This window comes from Homo sapiens, chromosome 20, assembly GCF_000001405.40.
Source record: "Homo sapiens chromosome 20, GRCh38.p14 Primary Assembly".
In the NCBI taxonomy this organism is placed as follows: domain Eukaryota; kingdom Metazoa; phylum Chordata; class Mammalia; order Primates; family Hominidae; genus Homo; species Homo sapiens.
This window is the reverse complement of record NC_000020.11, coordinates 37444673-37445771: the sequence shown is the minus strand read 5'-3', so window position 1 is coordinate 37445771 and position 1099 is coordinate 37444673. Positions and strand designations below refer to the sequence as shown.

The 1099-nt window shown below is 49.0% G+C and overlaps 1 pseudogene; it reads left to right on the top strand.

The window, feature by feature from the left end:
* Positions 216-1099, top strand: RPL7AP14 (ribosomal protein L7a pseudogene 14; annotated as a pseudogene).

The window sequence follows — 1099 nt, the reverse complement described above, 5'->3', positions numbered from 1 at the left end:
TTTTTGTTTTTTACAAAGACAGTGGGTCCGTGAATGACTTGTGTAATTAAAAATTAATTTTACAGCCAGGTGCTGTGGCTCATGCCCCTGTGGTCCCAGCACTTTGGGAGGCTGAGACAGGAGGATCACTTGAGGGCCAGGAGTTCAAGACCAGCCTGGACAACATAGCATGACCTCGTCTCTACAAAAAAAATTTTAAAAATCAGCTGGGTGTACTCTCTCCTCCCGCCGCCCAAGATGCCGAAAGGAAAGAAGGCCGGGGGATGAAGGTGGCTCCAGCCCCTGCTGTCGTGAAGAAGCAGGAGGCCAAGAAAGTGGTGAATCCCCTGTTTGAGAAAAGGCCTAAGAATTTTGGTGTTGGACAGGACATCCAGCCCAAAAGAGACCTCACCCGTTTTGTGAAATGGCCCCGCTATATCAAGTTGCAGCATCAGAGAGCCTTCCTCTATAAACGGCTGAAAGTGCCTCCTGCAATTAACCAGTTCACCCAGGCCCTGGACCGCCAAACTGCTACTCAGCTGCTTGAGCTGGCCCACAAGTACAGACCAGAGACAAAGCAAGAGAAGAAGCAGAGGCTCTTGGCCCAGGCCGAGGAGAAAACTGCTGGCAAAGGGGACATCTCCACTAAGAGACTACCTGTCCTTCAAGCAGGAGTTAACACCCAGTCACCACCTTGGTGGAGAATAAGAAAGCTCAGCTGGTGGTGACTGCACACGATGTGGATTCCATCAAGCTGGTTGTCTTCTTGCCTGCCCTGTGTCATAAAATGGGAGTCCCTTACTGCATTATCAAGGGGAAGGCAAGACTGGGGCGTCTAGTCCACAGGAAGACCTGTGCCACTGTCGCCTTCACACAGGTTAACTGGGAAGACAAAAGTGCTTTGGCTAAGCTGGTGGAAGGTATAAGGACCAATTACAATGAGAGATACAATGAGATCCACCATCACTGGGGAGGCAATGTCCTGGGTCCCGAGTCTGTGGCTCGCATCGCCAAGCTCAAAAAGGTAAACGCTAAAGAACTTGCCACTAAACTGGGTTAAATGTACACTGTTGAGTTTTCTGTACATAAAAATAATTAAAATGATACAAATTTTGCTTCA